This window comes from Homo sapiens, chromosome 10, assembly GCF_000001405.40.
Source record: "Homo sapiens chromosome 10, GRCh38.p14 Primary Assembly".
Classification (NCBI taxonomy): domain Eukaryota; kingdom Metazoa; phylum Chordata; class Mammalia; order Primates; family Hominidae; genus Homo; species Homo sapiens.
Window position 1 is genome coordinate 26,528,346 of NC_000010.11, and position 18,759 is coordinate 26,547,104.

The 18,759-nt window shown below is 40.8% G+C and overlaps 1 protein-coding gene across 2 annotated transcripts in view, besides 2 other annotated features; it reads left to right on the forward strand.

Annotated features, from left to right (window-relative positions):
* APBB1IP (amyloid beta precursor protein binding family B member 1 interacting protein) overlaps positions 1 to 18,759 on the forward strand; it is a 129,463-nt gene that overhangs the window by 90,005 nt on the left and 20,699 nt on the right. The window contains exons 9-11 of one of the 2 annotated variants that reach the window (NM_019043.4): positions 5,094 to 5,180; positions 7,729 to 7,872; positions 13,237 to 13,347. In NM_019043.4, the coding sequence (NP_061916.3) occupies positions 5,094 to 5,180; positions 7,729 to 7,872; positions 13,237 to 13,347 (342 nt within the window). The remainder of the gene's footprint in view (positions 1 to 5,093; positions 5,181 to 7,728; positions 7,873 to 13,236; positions 13,348 to 18,759) is intronic. The other variant, XM_011519514.3, reaches the window with a different exon arrangement.
* Positions 1,120 to 1,169: a silencer, noted in NCBI's record as "silent region_2236". NCBI's record gives its function as "represses an Ori minimal core promoter by ATAC-STARR-seq in GM12878 lymphoblastoid cells {active_cell/tissue: GM12878}" and the evidence as "EXISTENCE:reporter gene assay evidence [ECO:0000049][PMID:35858748]".
* Positions 12,406 to 12,475: an enhancer, noted in NCBI's record as "active region_3169". NCBI's record gives its function as "activates an Ori minimal core promoter by ATAC-STARR-seq in GM12878 lymphoblastoid cells {active_cell/tissue: GM12878}" and the evidence as "EXISTENCE:reporter gene assay evidence [ECO:0000049][PMID:35858748]".

The window sequence follows — 18,759 nt, forward strand, 5'->3', positions numbered from 1 at the left end:
GTGCCTTTGTGCATGCTTGTTCTCCTCCCTGGAAATCTATTCTTATTCTTTTTTTCCCTACCAGAACATTGAACAGCTTTCAAGGCCTCGTTCAAACTTTGACCCCCTCTGTAAAGTTTTTCTTGACCATCGCAGTCCATAGTAATTTCTTCCTTCCTGAAAATCTCTAGACTGTGGCTCATTTTGAATTTTTGTAGTCTCTTATATCTTCCCCATTGACAGATATAGAGTCATCTGTCCATCTCACTATGATCGATCTGTATTTATCTTCTCCATGTGATAGCAACCTTCTTAAGAACAGGGATTTGAGGCCAGGCATGGTGGCTCACGCCTGTAATCCCAGCACTTTGGGAGGCCGAGGCAGGTGAATCCCTTGAACTCAGGAGTTTCAAACCAGCCTGGGCAACATAGCAAGACCCCATCTCTACAAAAAATTTAAAAATTAGCTGACCATGGTGGCATGTGCCTGTAGCCCCAGCTACTTGCAAGGCTGAGGTGGGAGAATTGCTTGAACCTGGGAGGCGGAGGTTGCAGTGAACCATGATCACGCCACTGCACTCCAGCATAGGTGACAGAGTGAGATATGTCCCTCCCCAAAGAAAGAACAGGGATGTTTTACATGTATAAAGGGTACTCACAAATATTTCTTCACGAACTGATAACTGTTTGCTTGATTTACTCTTTATTCCAAGAAGATTTTTAAAAAGTATTTGCTGTTTCTTTCCTATCCAGCTGTCCCCAAATGTTGCACTCCCAGAAGCTGTGAGAAAAGAGAGCAAGCTATGACCAAGAGTCTCATTTCCCATTTTAAAGTTCCTTTATTATTCGACTCAGGTTTACCCAGTTTCCATTTGCAGGATATAATGACTAAACGTTGAGTTCTGCTCACTACTTCTACAGAACAGCCCGCATTGAGTGGGCGCCCACACCGCAGGTGGAAGTTCCGATCCGAAAGCAATCAGTCTTATTATTCTAAGAATTATTCTTATTCTAAGGACTGCCCTCCTCCAGCACAGATTTGCTTTGTGTTTTTTGCTATTTCATTAAAAGAAAAAACAAAAACAGTGTAGCATGGTCACTTAGAAGGATATTCTGAAGCTGAAAAAGTCAGAAGTATGTCAGAGAAAGTTCTCAGAGAAAGGTACAGCTATACATCCTGCCTCTTTAGGGCACCCTGGTGAAATGTGGCCCTTCACAGTTTAGACAGGTTCTTCCCTGCAGAGGGTGACAGATGCTCTGTCTTTCCCAGATAAGGATGATGACAAACACTTGCTCTGGAGTCTTTTTTTTTCTTTTAATTTTTCCTTTTTCCTGAGATGGAGTCTTGCTTTGTCACCCAAGCTGGAGTGCGGTGGGATGATCTCAGCTCACTGTAACCTCCACTTCCCAGTCTCAAGTGATTCTTCTGCCTCAGCCTCCCTAGTAGCTGGGATTACAGGCGCCCACCACCAAACCCAATTAATTTTTGTATTTTTAGTAGAGACAGGGTTTTGCCATGTTAGCCAGGCTGGTCTCGAACTGCTGACCTCAGGTGATTCACCCACCTTGGCCACCCAAAGTACTGGGATTACAGGCGTGAGCCACCGCACCCGGGTTTGGAGTCTTCATTATGCTCTCTGTTCATGCTTCCAGTTCATCATACGTGATTCAAATATCTGGCCTTCCTAAGCCAAGGTTTGCTTTCTAGCAGCACCTTGAAATCACTCTTGTATGAATGGGCGAACTCATATTGGGTCACATCTTTTGTTATTGTGGAAAAATATATGTAACATAGGACTTATCATCTTAACCATTTTTAAGTGTACCCTTCTGTGGTATTAAGTACATTCACATTGCTGTGCTAGATTCTCCCCTATGGTACTTAAAGCTTTTTTTTCTTTTTCTTTTTTTTTTTTTTTTTGAGACGAGGCCCCCACTGTGTGACCCAGGCTGGACTCAAACACCTGGGCTCAAGTGATCTTCCTGCCTCAGCCTCTGGAGTAGCTGGGACTACAGGTGCATGCCATTATGCCCGGCTCTGTACTTAAGAGTATTTTAATGCTGAGAAAAATTATTTAATAACTTGGCCAGGTATGGTGGCTCACGCATGTAATCGCAGCACTTTGGGAGGCCGAGGCGGGCAGATCACAAGGTCAGGAGATCGAGACCATCCTGGCCAACATGGTGAAACCCCGTCTCTACTAAAAATACAAAAATTAGCTGAGCGTGGTAGTGCGTGCCTGTAATCCCAGCTACTCGGGAGGCTGAGGCAGGAGAATTGCTTGAACCCAGGAGTTGGAGGTTGCAGTGAGCCGAGATCGCGCTACTGCACTCCACCCTGGCGACAGAGCAAGACTCTGTCTCAAAAAAAAAAAAAATTATTTAATAACTCAACGTTCTGCCACTAATCGGCCTTGGGAAAATCACTTAATCCTCTGTGTCCTCATCTGTAAAGTAGCAATAGCAATGGTACCTATGTTACGGGGTTCTTGTGAGGATGAAATAAAATCGTATCTGTAAAGCCTTAGCATAGGTTTCCAGCAGGTAGAATATGTTACCTAATATGGCTAGTCGTGGTCTTCAAGCAAAACATTTAAGATTTAAATAGTTTTCTGAATTCTATATTGTAATTGCACTAATTCACAATATAACATCCTTTCAAATAACAAATAAAAGTTTAAAAGTCTTGGAAAAACATATTAAAATAAACTTCTTTTCAATAAGAATTACCAAAAGAATTGTACTTGGCCAGGCGTGGTGGTTTATGCCTGTAATCCTAGCACTTTGGGAGGCTGAGGGGGGCAGTTTGAGACCAGCCTGGCCAACATTAAAAAACCCCATTTCTACTAAAAATACAAAAAGTTAGCTGGGCATGGTGGTGCACACCTGTAATCCCAGCTACTTGGGAGGATGAGGAAGGAGAATCCCTTGAACCCAGGAGGCAGAGGTTTCAGTGAGCCAAGATTGCACCACAGCACTCCAGCCTGGGTGACAGAGCAAGACGCTGTCTCAAAAAAACAAAAAAAATTGTGCTTGACTTATTTCCTCTATTTAAGTTAGCAGCCAGGCGCGGTGGCTCATGCCTGTAATCCCAGCACTTTGGGAGTCCGAGGCAGGCGGATCACGAGGTCAGGAGATCGAGACCATCCTGGCTAACATGGTGAAACCCCATCTCTACTAAAAATACAAAAAATTAGCCGGGCGCGATGGCGGGCGCCTGTAGTCCCAGCTACTCGGGAGGCTGAGGCAGGAGAATGGCATGAACCTGAGAGGCGGAGCTTGCAGTGAACCGAGATGGCGCCACTGGACTCCAGCCTGGGTGACAGAGCGAGACCCCGTCTCAAAAAAAAAAAAAGTTAGCAAATCACCTTTTTTATGCATTGTATTTCAAGGAGATATTTTAAACTTCTACATTTTATTTGTCTGCAGTTTTTTTCCTTTCTGTCCAGTACACTTGATTCTCAAACTTCAGCATGACCAGGCATGGTGCACATGCCTATAGTCCCAGCTATTTAGAAGGCTGAGCAGGGGAGATTGCTTGAGCCCAGGAGTTCAAGGCTGCAGTGAGCTATGATCATGTGACTGCACTCCAGCTTGGGTAACAGAGCAAGACCTTGTCTCTAAAGAAAAGCCAACGATAAGAAAAACCCAAACTTCAGTGTGCATAAAAATCATCTGGAAAGCATATTGGAATGCAGATTTCCAGGCCTCATCCCAGAGATTCCAGTGTAGCCCAGGAACATGCATTGTATCAAGTTTCAAGGTGGTCTGAGGATTATACTTGGAGAAACACTCCTATGGTGTAAACACTTGTGCCTAGATTCAGTAGGGTCCTTAATTTAGTCACAGTGCTTCTGAGATACATTTTCTGCCTTTAATACATTTGTTATGTATTATTTTGTAAAACTCCGTGTTTTTACATAAAATCCTCAGCACTCTATGACAGTGGTCACTCATTATATTCACGGTGCATATGGATACCTCAGCTGCACTTATTGTGTAAAATTAGTCCTTGAGTGCTCGTGATTTTTTGGAACCCTTTATTTTTAGCCATCCTGTTGATACTCAGTATTAACAAAGTATGATCCAGAAATTAATACAAACCATGCTTAGAGACCATGAGTCCACTTGTGAGTTCTTTTATTTCTTTATTTTTTTATTTTATTTTATTTTTTGAGACAAGGTCTCACTCTGTTGCCCAGGCTGGAGTGCAGTGGAGTGATCATAGCTTACTGCAGCCTCAAACTCCTGGGCTCAAGCAGTCCTCTAGCCTCAGCCTCTCAAGTAGATGAGACTACAAGCATGCATGCCGCCATGCCTAGCTAATTTTTTCATTATTATTTTTAGTAGAGACAGGGTCCTACTATGTTGCCCAGGCTGGTCTCAGACTCCAGGGTTCAAACAATCCTCCTGCCTCAGCCTCCCAGAGTGGTGGGATTATGGGCATGAGCCACACCCAGACTGTGAGTGCTTAGATCATAGTCCTCCCTGTCTTTGTTTAGGCTGGTTTTCTTTCCAGAAATGCCCTTTCTGCTTCTTTCTGTCCTTGGAAGTTGCTAAATAGTAAACCTTGTGTTGTGATTGACCCAGGCAGTTCTTTTAAAAAATAAAAGAGGCCGCTAACATTTGCAAACATCTACATTTCTGGATTCTCTTGATAAGCCAGAATCCCGCCAGCCTACAAGGCCTTGAGCTCCCATGTGGCATCTGCCTGCCGGAGCAGTTCCCCTCTTGAGCATAGGACATGAGCTTGACCTTCACTCCAGCCTCCAGCTCTTGCCAGTGCCTTGGGGACTTCCAGCTTCCAGCATTTAACATGCATGGTCCATGCATGGACTTCAACAATTAAATGATGTATTTTTCGCTACTGTTTTCTATCTTCTGTGTTTTCATTGATTGTGTACACTATGGGAGGATGAAGAGGTTTCACTCCTGCCTTGGCAATGTGGTATCAGCATTTGGGAAGGCTCTGATGGTTGACTGATATCATATGCTCTGGTTCCCTGTTTGTTTCACACACTTAACATCTTCTTTCCAGCAAGACTGTGAGTTCCTTGCAGAGTCTAGTACGGTAATGAACACTTACTGATCTGATCTTTTAACATTTTATTTAGAATTTCTACTTGGATAACAGAGGAAAAAAAGAAAGCAAGGAAACTAATGAGAAAATGAATGCTAAGAACAAGGAATCCTTACTTGAGGTAAGGTTAATTTTGCAGAGTGGAAGAAAAGAGAAGGACGTTTGCTCTATTTTTAAGTCATTTGCTTCCGAGAACAATGGAAAAATCTAAAGACATACACTGAAATTTTAAGTTGGGGTGTTAAAATCAAATTATTTCTAAATTATAGCTATTTAGATAATTCAACTGTTTTTCTTTTTTGAGTCATTTGTTACAACATGTGGCTTTAGATAAATGAAGCTGGATTTGTAATTCTTGACTTTTAAAAACTTCTAGCATTCCAAGTTTCCATTACTTAAGTGCTCCACGGAAGTCAGACGTAAAAATTTCCAAATCTTTTTTAAAAGGGACCTCTAAGATGCTCTCTCAACATTTTAGACGTGGTAGGAAGTGTGAGATTTGGAGTCAGGGACCCGTTACAGGAGGCGGCTCTGCCTAGCACTCTTCATGTGCTCATGGGACAGTCCCCGCCCCCCCGAGAACCTGACAGATTCCGAATTGTATTGAATTATCACAGAGATTCAGGGAGATGGGGAAAGCACTGTGTTGATTACCATACAGATGTCTATGATGACCACTACTGGGGCGTGTTCCAGAAGTTCATTTGACAATTGATTTTTTGGAAACCTCTAATGAGTTTTCACATAGTATCTATGTTAAAAATCAAGGCTCTGAGCCTCGCATGGGGGCACACACCTGTAATCCCAGCTACTCAGGAAGCTGAGGTGGGAGGATCACTTGAGTCCAGGAGCTCAAGGCCAGCCTGGGCAACAAAGCAAGATCCAGTCTCAAAAAAAAAAAAAAAAAAAAAAAATCGAGGATCTGTTCGCAGCACATAACGCAGTTGAAATGAGTGCCAGATCTCAAATCACAAATGGTCATGCTAGAACTGCCCAGGTTGTATTTCCCTGAGACAATCCATGGACCTTTTCCTGAGTTAGTAAATTTCCTGAGTTAGTAAATTTTGGACCTCCCTTGAAAAATCAGAAGACCTGGTGATGCCCTCGGCATCCGGTTCCCACCTGGAGCCAATTGGCTCATGCTGGAGCCAATTAGCTCATGCTGAAGAGCGCCCTCTCTCGTTCATTAAGGTTCCGCCCAGGCCTTGCGCATGTCTTTTCCCTGCCTGCTTTTCACAGCCCGGTGCCAAATAAAGCAGCTACCAGAACCAGCTGCCACCCCCCAGATGCTGAGCTCAGGTGTTGCAGGTTCTGGTGCCTGGGAGCATGAGCACAGTGAGCATTTCCCAGGGAGGCCCAACAGGATAGTCCTTGTTCCAGGAATTCAGCGATGTTTTACAGCTGGATGTAAAAGAAAATTCAAAGCATGCTATGCTATGAACAATCGTTATCCTGCTGTCTAATTGGGGTCAAAACTCTGAATTTAAGAGATTATTAACAGGATGACTAATACTAGCCAAATTTGGGGAGAAATTGGGGAGTGTAAACAGAAATATTTTCCAGCTCTACTACATAAAAATGTACTTGGAGGATGCAAAATCCAGTTTATTTTGCATTTATGGAACTAAATGAGAGGATGTTGAGAGTTATAAAAAGAAAGCAAAAAATAAGTTTGACTATTTGAATTGTAAAATAGAATAATATATAATTTTATTCTATTGATTTTTAAAACAAAATTTATTAAGAATTCTATAATCCTATGCAAGTTTTGAGATTTAAAAATCTACAACTAGAAGATGTGCTTTGTTATTCTTTTCTGATACTGATGTATTTATAACTGCCTTCTTCCTTCTTTGAAAAGAAAACTATCCCAATAATAAAATATTAACTTATTTATTTTTATTCTTTTTATTTTTACTTTTTGTGGGTACATAGTATGTATACATTTATAGGGTACATGATATATTTTGATATGGGCATGCAATGTGACCTAGTCGCATCAGGGAGAATTGGGTATCCATCCTCTCAAGCATTTGTCCTTTGTATTACAAACAATCCAATTACACTCTTTTAGTTATTTTTAAATGTACGATTAAGTTATTATTGACTATAGTCACCCTGCTTTGCTTTCAAATAGTAGGTCTTATTCATTCTTTCTATTTTTTTGTACCCATTAACTATTCTCCCCAATTTTATGTGTAGAATTATATATAATAATTGTTCTATTTACCAGCAATGAAATGGTAACTTTTTTACTTATCAGGAAAGTAATAATTATTCTGTCTTCCATTTTATAATAACATTAATTGCTTTTATTAAAGGCTTACTTTTACAATATGCCGAGACTGTACTGACAACCTACCTTATGAAGTTGGGCTATTATTATTCCATTTTAACAAGTAAGTGGACTGAGGTTTAATGGCCCACGGTCACAGAGTTAAGTGGTGAAGAGGCCTTGAGGTCTAACTCAGGAGCCAGGATTCTTGATCGATGTGTTATTCTTCCTCTCTTCTGGCAAATAGCATATAATATAAACATATGCATTCGATCAGAGTTGTACACAAAATTGACTTTTAGTTTAAAAGCTAATTTGTAAGTTTTTAAATGTGAATAAAAATGCGTGCTTTATCTTTCGTGTGTGTCTTATGTCGTCGGAATCTCACTTTCAGGAAAGTTTCTGTGGAACATCTATCATTGTACCAGAACTGGAAGGAGCTCTTTATTTGAAAGAAGATGGAAAGAAATCCTGGAAAAGGCGCTATTTTCTTTTACGGGCTTCTGGAATTTATTATGTACCCAAAGGAAAGACTAAGGTCAGAAAAAAAAAAAAAAAAGCACTTAGCAATAAAGCATTTCATGAGAATGAAACTAAAGAAATCCTTAGTTGGCAAGTTAAATACATTCTCTGTTGCTGCAGATTCCATAATCCTGCAACATGTATACAAATAGGACAGTATTATTGAAATCTTTTTGAGTTTTCCCGTAGCTCTCTTGAAGGTAAAAGTATTTTATCTATTTTAAAGTCAGGTTTCAAAAATGATGGCAAAAGCACTTTTCTAGAGATTATTTTGTTACTTTACCCGTCTATTTCCAATGACTTTTTACCCCTGTTGTTCTATTGTCATTATAGTTAAATTTCTTTTATCTGGAATCATAGAGGTATTGGAAATCTTGATAAGATTTTCTTTCTTTTTTTTTTTTTCTTTTGAGATAGTCTCACTCTAATCCACAGGCTGGGGTACAGTGGCATGATCTGGACTAACTGCAACCTCCACCTCCCAGGCTCAAGCCATCCTCCCACCTCAGCCCACCCCCCACCCCCCGCCAAGTAGCTGGGACTACAGGTGCATGCCACCATGCCCAGCTGATGTTTCATATTTTTTGTAGAGACGGGGTTTCACCATGTTGCTTAGGCTGGTCTTGAACTCCTGAGCTCAAGCAATCTGCCCGCCTCACTCAGCCTTCCAAAGTGCTGGGATTACAGGCATGAGTCACCGCACCCAGCTCTTGACTAGATTTTCCTTGAGATTTTAGCCCTTAGACTCTGAATATTTTAAAATCATTCTCTGAGGTGTACTCTGAATTTCCCTTCCTAATTTAACAGGGTATTTTAGACAACATTTAACTTTTACTTGGTGATTCAGGATTATTGCCTCAAATTTATAAGTATGTAATAAATTATTCCTTGAAATGTAATTTTAACTCTTATTCTGACCATCAGCTCTCTCTAAGACCTTTCTTAGAGGGTTAGGACCTTTCCGTCTTTTGTTCACCATTAATACATGTCTAATCTGTATCTTGGGTACGCGGAAGCATTTTGCCTTCCCTTCCAAATGCAGGGCACCACCAATGGTATATTCATGCATTGCAATGCATGAATTTACCTCTGATAAAGCTTAACCCACACTTCCAAGCCGATGAAATTATGGTGAACATCCAGGTCTGCTACCTCCAGTAAGGAGACTCTTGTCTCTATCGGAAGACAGGAGGGGCATTATGGCTAACTCTTGGTCCAGGACAGCTACTGTTCTCCTTAGCCTCTTCCACTCTTTTCCTGCCCTTAGATCTGATGCTTTCCCATCTCTGCCATCTCATTCCAGTCCCACACTGGGCACCTCACAACTGACCCACAAATAATTTGTTTTCGAAATGTTTATGTCTTAGGCATTTGAATATAAACGGTGCATATAAATAAACATATAACAAACAATATACTCTGTGATGAGAATTAAAAGTGTTTACATTTGGCTGGGTGTGGTGGTTCATGCCTGTAATCCCAGCACTTTGGGAGGCTGAGGCAAGGTGAATCACTTGAGACCAGGAGTTCTAGACCAGCCTGGCCAACATGGTGAAACGCTACCTCTACTAAAAATACAAAAATTAGCTGGGTGTGGTGGTGCACACTTGTAATCCCAGTAGCTGGGGAGGGTGAGGCACGGGAATCACTTGAACTTGGGAGGTGGAGGTTGCAGTGGCCTGAGATCATGCCGCTGCACTCCAGCCTGGGTGAAAGAGCAAGACTAGGTCTCAAAAAAAAAAAAAAAAAAAAGTGTTTACAGTAGAGTTGGACAAGAATACCTTCTCTCACTGTTACCATTAACACGGGGTTGAGGAACTAACTAGTATATTAAAGAAAAGAATAATAAGTATAACCAATAGAAAAGAAGAGGCAAAGACTGATTTTTCACAGTGTTGTCTATCCAGCAATATGAGACACTCAACTGAAAAACTGTTAGAACCAAATAAATGTATTAACTAAGAAAGTTTTTCTTTACACAAACAATATATATAATGCAAACCATAATGCAAAAGAATCCATGCAGACTAGAAACAGAAAATGCAAAATACCTAACAATAAACTCAGCAAGAAATGTTCCAGATTCATATGGCATAAAATATAAAATGTATTAAAAGAAATGAAGTAGAACTGAATCAATAGAAAGGTACCATGTTGCAGGCCAGGTGCGGTGGCTCATGCCTGTAATCCCAGCACTTTGGGAGGCCGAGGCGGGCGAATCACGAGGTCAGGAGTTTGAGACCAGCCTGTCCAACATGGTGAAACCCCATCTCTACTAAAAATGCAAAAATTAGCCAGGCGTGGTGGCGGGCGCCTGTAATCCCAGCTACTCGGGAGGCTGAGGCAGAAGAATTGCTTGAACCCAGGAGGCGGAGGTTGCAGTGAGCCAAGATCATGCCACTGCACTCCAGCCTGGGGCGACAAAGTGAGATTCCATCTCAAAAAAAAAAAAAAAAGTAGAAGATAAAGAAAAGAAAGGTACCATGTTGCTAAAAGAAAAGTTATTAATTCTTCCCAGTTTTCTATAAATTTAATATAATTTTAATAAAAATATCAGTAGGATTTTATTTACTTGAAATTCACAGACTGATTTCATGGAAAAAAGACACTGTTCCAAAATAGACCTTCCCAAAATTGTGAAGAACATCAAGGTAGATCTCCTGCTGTGCCAAAACATTAGATAAAAACAGCACAGCTAGAGACAAACAGGTCGACAGACAACCGTCTAATATCAGAGAAGTTAAAGTTGGAATTTATATCACAGCAGTGGGGAAAGAATGTGGTATTCAACAAATAGAACTGAAATAACTGTATATCCATTTAGAAATATAATTTCCTACCTCATTCCATGTACCAAACTAAATTCTTGATTGATTAAAATATCTTTAGAGAAAAATAGTATAAAATCCTAGAAGAAAACAGAGGCTGGCTGGGTGCGGTGGCTCATGCCTCTAATTCCAGAACTCTGGGAGGACCAGGTGGGAGGATAGCTTGAGCCCAAGAGTTCAAGACCAGCCTGAGAAACATAGGGAGACCCTGTCTGTACAAAAGGAATAAAAAAATTAGTGGGGATGGTGGCACATGCCTGTAGTCCCAGCTACTTGGGAGGCTGATCCGGGAGGATCATTTGAGCCCGGGAGGTCAAGACTTCAGTGAGCCATGTTCGTGCCACTGCACTCCAGCTGAAGTGACAATATGAGATCCTGAAAAAAAAAAAAAGAAGGAAAGAAAGAGAGAGAGTGAAGGAAGGAAGAAAGGAAGAAAGGAAGAAAGGGAGGAAGGGAGGGAAGGAAGGAAGGAAGAAAGGGAGAAAAAAAAGAAAATATAGGTTAATGTTTTTATAATTTTGAGCTGGAGAAAGGTTTCCTAAGCAAGAATAAAAACTCAAAATTATAACGGAGAAAAATGGCCAGATTTGACCTGATAAAGTTATTTTTAATACCTTATGGCCAAAGATAACAAACAAGAAGTGAAAGACTGACTACAGTGAGAGAGTACATTTGCAACATGTATAAACAAGTATGAATATCCATAAAATATAAAGACTTCAAGAAATCAATAAGAAAAAGATAAACATACAGAAAAATGGCAAAGCTTTTAAAGGGAAAATTTACAGAAAAAGAAGTACCGGTAACCACCGCATAACTAAAAGTTGCTCCGTCTCATTACTGATCAGGGAAATGAAAATTAAGCATGAGATTGATAAAATAAACAATATAGATAATATCCAAATTTTGGTGGAAGTGGGTAAGAAAAAGAGACACTCACGCCTGGGAGCTTGGAATAGAAACTCATACGGCCAAACTGGGGGACAATTTAGCAAAATCTATGTACATGTAACAGGGAGTAAAAATCCTTTCAAATGGCAACTCCATGCTTGACGAATCTATCTCACAAAAATATAAGCTCACATGCACAGTATTTTTTGTAATAGCTAAATATTGAAATAACTTCTAATCATCTGTAGTAGAATAGTTAAATAAATCGTTACACCTGTACCGTAGAATTCTCTGCAGCCATAAAATGAATGTCATATATTAATTCATGTCTTGATGTAGAAAGACTCCTAGATGCAATGTTAAGAAAAAGAAGGCGAGGGGCGGTGGCTCACTCCTCTAATCCCAACAGTTTGGAAGGCCAAGGAAGGCGGATCGCTTGAGCTCAGGAATTCAAGACCAGCCTGGGCAACGTCATGGGATAGAACAGAATAGAATACTACCAAACTATTAACTATGGTACCTTTGGAGAAAAGAACAAAATAAGAAAAAGGGGTGGTGGAGGAAGATGTGCATTTTATTATTTATATATATATATATTTTAAATGTGACTAATATGCATTCGTTTGTAACTTAAAAATGTAAACTTTGAACATCCAGAAGAAAATATCTTGTAAGAAAAGAATACAAGCATATGTAAAGAAATAATTGTGCACTAAGGTGTAAATAGTTCTGCCATCTATTCTTTATTCACTAACTAGTAAAGAAATATAGAAAGCGAAACAAAAAACTAATGGAACACATTTGTAATTGAAGTGTAACCAAATATGTAGATTACAGGCTGCAGTCTTCACAGTGCCTGTTATCCGTGGAGGAGAGGTCTCTGTTTCCATGGCAACACTGCCTGCAGTAAAGAGAACTTGTGAAAGAAATCCTTTTTCTCAGGAGGAAGTGCATGAAGTGTGTGCTGATTTACTGAGCATAAGTTTATCTCTCATTTTTCGTCCTGAGGGGGACTTTTTTTTTTTTTTAATGCTCAATCGCAAAATCCATCACGGACTTAGAATGGCAAAAGTCAAAATGAAATTTCTGGCTAAGCGGTCACCTTGTCTCGACTGCATCAATAATGACATCTCAAGGACAGTCCATCCTGACTCTGGGAGTCCCCAGACAGGCATTAGAACAGCAGTATAATCTTTCACTCCGTTTCTGGGTCAGTGGCACCGATTTTCATGGCTGCACTCTTTTTAAAAAATTAATTTTATTTTTTGATTGACAAATAATAATTGTACATATGCATAACGTACATAGTGATGTTTTGATACATATAATGTATGGTGATCAGATCAAGGTAATTAGCACATCCATCATCTCAAACATTTATCATTTCTTTGTGTTGGGAACATTCAATATCTTTCATATTGGGAAAGATTTATGTATAGATCTTACTAAATTGTCCCCCAACTTGGCCATATCAGTTTCCATTCCAACCTTTCAGACTTGCCTTTGAGAAAACCTATACATGGCAGATGTTTATATAAATTACCTAAAAGTCAATATTTTCTTTACTAAAATATAATCCTTAGTTGTGCTATGAAGGACAACTCTGGAAAATTGTTAACTGTCATCTCAGTTGAAGTTTTATTTTTTTCCCTGTCTTTCAGACATCTCGAGATCTGGCGTGTTTTATACAGTTTGAAAATGTCAACATTTACTATGGGACTCAGCATAAAATGAAATATAAAGCGCCCACTGACTATTGCTTTGTTTTAAAGGTATGTTATAAGAAGTCATTCATTTAGATTTATAAGCAATTTGAGTTAATTTTTTTTCAAGGAAGAAAATGTTAAATTATAGTTAGCCATATGTGTAACAATAAGAAATTGTTTAACCAAAATAGGAATGAGGGAAACATTTCTATCAATTTGGGACATTTTCCCCAAAGCCTCCTATCTGAACCTAAAACTTTAAGGTAACTCTGTCTGGGGATTTCTTCACTTCTGAAAATGAAAGTTCCACATTTTAAACAAATTAATTTATAATGTTATCGATAAGACTAAAAAAAGTTTTCAGTTCTTATTGGGCTCATTCCACCATAAGAAGATTTTAGAAATTAGAAACTTGCAAGATTTCCTAGACAACTTATAGAAAATAGCCAAAAAAAAGTTGTTTTAATTACTGGGTCATGAAACTTCAGGTGTATATTGTCAAAAGGCAATAGGTATTATCAAATGTTAGATATGGTTTACATTTTTTTGAGACCGAGTCTCACTCTGTCACCCAGGGTGGAGTGCAGTGGCTCAATCATAGCCCACTGCAGCCTCAGCCCCCCAGGCTCAAGCAATCCTCCTGCCTTAGCCTCTCAAGTATCTGGGACTAGAGGTGTGCACCACCACACCAGCTAATTTTTGTATTTTTAGTTAAGATAGGGCTTTACCATATTACCCAGGCTGGTCTCAAACTCCTGGGCTCAGGCAATCCACCTACCTTGGCATCCCAAAGTGCTGGGGTTGCAGGCATCAGCCACCACTCCTGGCCGATTTACATTTTTTAAAATTAGAATCTCAGATCAGTCTGATCAGGAGATGGGTTATTACAACCACACATGTGATGCGTTACGGGTCTTTCTGTATGCCTGCAGAACTCTGGATTAAGGACTATGGTAAGTTTTTGTCTGCGTTTCTTTTTAGTCAAATGCAATAACCAGGTGAATTCAATCATATTTAGTAATTTTGACTCCCTGAACAATTACAATCACTTATTATAATCATCAAATAATAATTGGTTGAAATTCTTGGCTTTATCAAGGACTCAGGATATTCAGTGACTTTCATTCAGATGTCCTAGCCTTTTTTTTTTAATTCCTAAGCATCCACTTTTAATTATTTACAGATAATATTAATAATAAAAACCACTATACTAGCTCAGTCAGCCTGATACTCCCCCAGTGGTTCTCAACCAGGCATTTTGCCTCCAAGGGTCATTTGGCGAACCCTAAAAACATTTTTGATTGTCATAGCTTGGGGCATGGAGCAGGGACTACTGACATCTAGTAGGCCAGGTATGCTGCTAAATACCTTGCAGTGCACAAGAAAACCCCCACACCAAAGACTTCTCTGGCCCCCAATGTCAACAGTGCTGCTGTCAAGAAACCTGCCCTAGACAGAAGAGCCCCAGAATAATGACTGTGAAAGCACTGAAGGCCGGGAGAAGGCTGGATCCGTTCACTCACTCATTCATTCAGTCATTTAATGTTTGTTGAATGACGGCCGGGCACGGTGGCTCACACCTGTAGTCCCAACACTGTGGGAGGCTGAGGCAGGCAGGTCACTTGAGGCCAAGGACTCTAGACCGTACTGGCCAACATGGTGAAACCCTGTCTCTGCTAAAAATACAAACAGTAGCTGGGCGTGGTGGTGCACGCCTTTAGTCCCGCTACTTGGGGGGCTTGAGGCAGGAGAATCACTTGAACCCGGGAGGCGGAGGTTGCAGTGAGCCGAGATCGCACCACTGCACTCCAGCCTGGGCGACAGAGAGAGACTCTGTCTCAAAAAAAAAAAAAGAAAAGAAAAAGAAAAAAAATGTGTTGAATGACAACTATTGTTGAGTGACAAGGATTATTATTATCATTATTATTTTCACTGCCGCATTCCCATCACCTGGAATAGTGGTGGGAATGCGGCAATTAAAAAAATACAACAATCCCTGTCCTCATGGAGTTTACATTCAACATGAGGAAAATGGCAAAGAACAAAAAAATATGCAATGTGATGTCAAGTAGTAACAAGGAGCAATATGAGGTAGGGCTGGGGCCAGGGCTCCTTTGGATGGGGTGTTCACAGAGAGGCTCTCTAGGAAGTGACATTTGACAAAAGATGTGAATGAGGTGAGGGAGCAAGAATTATCTGCAGTACGAGCCCTCCAGGAATAAGAACAGGAATTGGAAAGCCCTGAGGTGAGGGAGGTCTGTTTGTTCCGAAGGAAGAGAGATGGGGAGCATGCCCTGCCTGATTCTGCTCCTCGCCCCTCCTTGTCTGTTCCTGATATAGGAAAAATAAGAATAATGGCAAGCACTTATATGGCATTTTCTTTGTAGATGTGGTATGTGTGCAGAGAGACTCCCCAGCCAGGAAGTGGCCAAGTCAGAATGAGAACTCAGGCAGTGCGGCTCAGAGGCCGTTCTCTCAGACAGTTTCTCAGGCCCCCAGAGATCTGGACACAAAGCATCGCCCACTACCCTGTCCCTCCCACAATGCCACCTGCCCTTGAGTCACATCTTCCCATGTCTGGAATCCTAAGACCCTGATAAATTACCAAAATGGAGCATTCCAACACACTTTATTGCCAAAGACTTGTCCACACTTCTTAAATCAGGAGAAGGTTTTGGAGAAATTTTCTGAAACACTGGTCAGTAAACTGGCTGAATCAGTCACTGGAGACTCTTTACAAATGCAGGTTCCCAGGCCCTAGGCCCACTAAATCAAAATAATGATGGAACCTAGGGTTAGGGTTAGGGTTTAAGGATGGAGCCTAGGAATCTTCATTTTTCCTAAGCATGGTCAAGTTTTCTACTGAGTGTTAGAACTCACTCTAACCATCAGTACTCATGGCTTAGCTGGTGATTAAATGGCCTTCAGAGTGGGCAGACAGGATGAAAGTCTAGCAGAAGGAAGCAGGAGCCAAACCCCAGGGCTGGGGTCCAGAAGCCAGAGCAGGGGTGTCTGTCAAGAAAAAGACAAGGTCTCTGACAAGAGGTTCCCAGCATGGGGATTTAGACACAGTGAACAGGGGAGGGACTCAGTTTCTCAAACTGACACATAAGTTTGGGACTAGGACCTACAATTGGCAGGACTTGAACGGTCTGACCTAGAACATGAGGTTATCCTGAGATTACACCAAGAATAGAAATCCTAAGTCCCAGAGTATTGAACCAGAATTTCTAAAACTTCCTGCTATCCAAGGTCTAGGTCTACAAGAGAGAGTTGAGGATCTCCCCAAAGGAGAGAGGGGGCTCAGAGGTGGAGAAACCAGCAGGACTGATGGATCTGGGAGCAAGAGTCATGAGCAACCCTTGCAGAATGTGTATTTCCTTTTCTCTCAGGATGATGATCTGTTCTGTTCTAAAGCCAATTTCCTCATGTGCAATCACCCTGCTCATTTTGTTCTTAAGCATGCTTCTCAGTTCCCTCCCAAAATATTGAGAATTCTTATTAATTTGCTGAGTAAAAGGATAACTGTTGAGGTTTGGAGAACCTAATTTGTTTATGAACATTGTGGTCACTTATTTCCCTTTTTGTCTGCTGTTTTAAAAAAATAAAAACTCTTGCTATTCTTTATTAGGGTGAGCCAATTTCCAAAATGCAAAGAATGAGTGTGTAGATTGCAAGAGGGATTAAGGATACAGGGAGGCATGTTAACAGACTTAGGCCAGGTGCGGTGGCACGTGCTTGTAATCCCAGCACTTTGGGAGGCCAAGGCGGATGGATCACCTGAGGTCAGAAGTTTGAGACCACCCTGGCCAAAATGGTGAAACTCCATCTGTACTAAAAATACAAAAATTAGGCCGGGCGCGGTGGCTCACGCCTGTAATCCCAGCACTTTGGGAGGCCGAGGCGGGCGGATCACGAGGTCAGGAGATCGAGACCATCCTGGCTAACACGGTGAAACCCCGTCTCTACTAAAAATACAAAAAATTAGCCGGGCGTGGTAGCGGGCGCCTGTAGTCCCAGCTACTCGAGAGGCTGAGGCAGGAGAATGGCGTGAACCCGGGAGGCGGAGCTTGCAGTGAGCCGAGATCGCGCCACTGCACTCCAGCCTGGGCGACAGAGCGAGACTCCGTCTCAAAAAAAAAACAAACAAACAAACAAAAAAAAACCACAAAAATTAGCTGGGCGTGGTGGCACGCGCCTGTAATCCTAGCTACTCAGGAGGCTGAGGTACGAGAATCGCTTGAACCCCGGGAGGTGGAGGTTGCAGTGAGCCAAGATCACGCCACTGCACTCCAGCCTGGGCGACGGAGTGAGACTTTGTCTCAAAGAAAAAAAAAAAAGATTGCATGATTTCATGGCCTGATAAGGCCAGGCTAAAGTTTATTCTTCAATATGAGCTTGATGACTATGGCTGTTCATGAAAGGTCCTGTCAGAAAGATTGGCGTCTGAGTCCTGGCCCTGTCACCTAGTAACTGGGTCACTAATAAGATGCTAAGCCTCACTGCACATCTTCAAGAGATGAGAGCGTCCAGCCCTTCTTTTGATAATTAAATATGATATGCCTACAAAATCATTAGTGCAATGTCTAGAAACATATCAGCACTTAGTAAGTGGTAGTTATTATTGCCCTCTGGTATTAAATAAATCTATTTATTAACCAGTGGTTCTCAAACTTTAGTATGCATCAGAACCATTTAGATTGTTAAGACACACATTGCTAGGCCCCCAGGGTTTTTGATTTAGTAAGTCTGGGATTGGGCCCAGAAATTTGCTTTTATTTTTTGCCTTTGTATTTATTCATTTATTTTTTAATTAACCCATAGTAATTGTACATTATGACACACAATGTGATGTTTTGATATATGTAAACATTGTGTAATCATCAAATCATGGTAATTAGCACAAACGTTTATCATAAAATCCTCTCTTCTAGCTGTTTGAAATATACAATGCATTATTGTTAGCTATAGTCACCCTACCTTGCAGTAGTGTACCAGAACTTATTCTTCCTAACTATAACACTGTACTCATTGACAAGCCTCTCTCCCCATTCTCTCCGGTCTCTAGTAACCACTATTCTACTCTCAACTCCTATGAAATCATTTTCTTTTAGATTCCACATATGAGTGGAATCTAAATATTTTTGTATTTTCTTTACCTATTCATCCACTGATGGGCATTTAGGTTGATTCTATATTTTAGCTATTGTGAACAGTGCTGCAATAAACATGAGAGGGCAGGTGTCTCTTTGACATATTGATTTCATTTCCTTTGTATATATACCCAACAGTGGAAATACTGGATCATATGGTAGATGTATTTTCAGTTTTTTGAGGCACCTCCATACTGTTTTCTGTAATGGCTAGACTAATTTACATTTCTGCCAATGGTGCATAAGAGTTCTTGTTTTTCCACATCCTTGTCAGCATTTGCTATTTTTTGTCCTTTTATCATAGCCATTCTAATTGGGATGATGC